Source organism: Homo sapiens, chromosome 5 (genome assembly GCF_000001405.40).
Source record: "Homo sapiens chromosome 5, GRCh38.p14 Primary Assembly".
Classification (NCBI taxonomy): domain Eukaryota; kingdom Metazoa; phylum Chordata; class Mammalia; order Primates; family Hominidae; genus Homo; species Homo sapiens.
In genome coordinates this window covers 158,677,006-158,677,655 of record NC_000005.10, presented here as the reverse complement: position 1 = coordinate 158,677,655, position 650 = coordinate 158,677,006, and the positions used below count along the sequence as shown (strand labels likewise).

At 50.2% G+C, this 650-nt stretch overlaps 1 annotated feature.

Annotated features, from left to right (window-relative positions):
• Positions 245 to 294: an enhancer, noted in NCBI's record as "active region_23535". NCBI's record gives its function as "activates an Ori minimal core promoter by ATAC-STARR-seq in GM12878 lymphoblastoid cells {active_cell/tissue: GM12878}" and the evidence as "EXISTENCE:reporter gene assay evidence [ECO:0000049][PMID:35858748]".

Sequence of the window (650 nt, the reverse complement as noted above, 5' to 3'; positions counted from 1 at the left end):
GGGGATGCGTGCTTTGGCAGTGAGGTGCCAGGGCCCCAGATTGGACCCCACCATGAAGTTCTCAAAGCTTAGCAATTTTGCAGAATTTAATGGGCGTTGGGAGACGATTTTACAGACTGATTTCCAGGAGCACAAATATTCAAATTGCTCAGCCCCTATTTGAAGACAGATCTGAAGGTGCACCTTACAACCTGTGTGGAGCAGGCTCTTTTGAATCTTGTCCTTGAAACAAAAAAAGGGGGGAGAAAAAGAAAGAAAGAAATGCAGCGCCCCCTGGGACTTTACCGGCAGAGACTCTAAGTGCAGCGTGACTGCAAAGGCCTGCCAGGAGTCCTTGGGGCAGGAGGGAGGAAGGGGATGAGAGAGACCGGAGATGAGAAGGGCCTTCAACAGCCATTGGGGAGGCGGTGGCGGGGGAGAAGAAAGGGAGACACGTACTAAAAACAACAGAAACACAGGTGGAAACGGCCTTGTGGGAAATCAGCCTGTCAACAAACAAAGCTGGAGGCTGGAAACCACTGCCTCACCAGCCCAGCTCCTGGGCAAGGAGATTGTTCTGTAAATAAATTAGCGGTGACTTTGACTGCTTGGAAATTAATACTGACACCATGAAAGCAGCAAATGGCTCCCTTTTATCAGGAGCAGAAGCA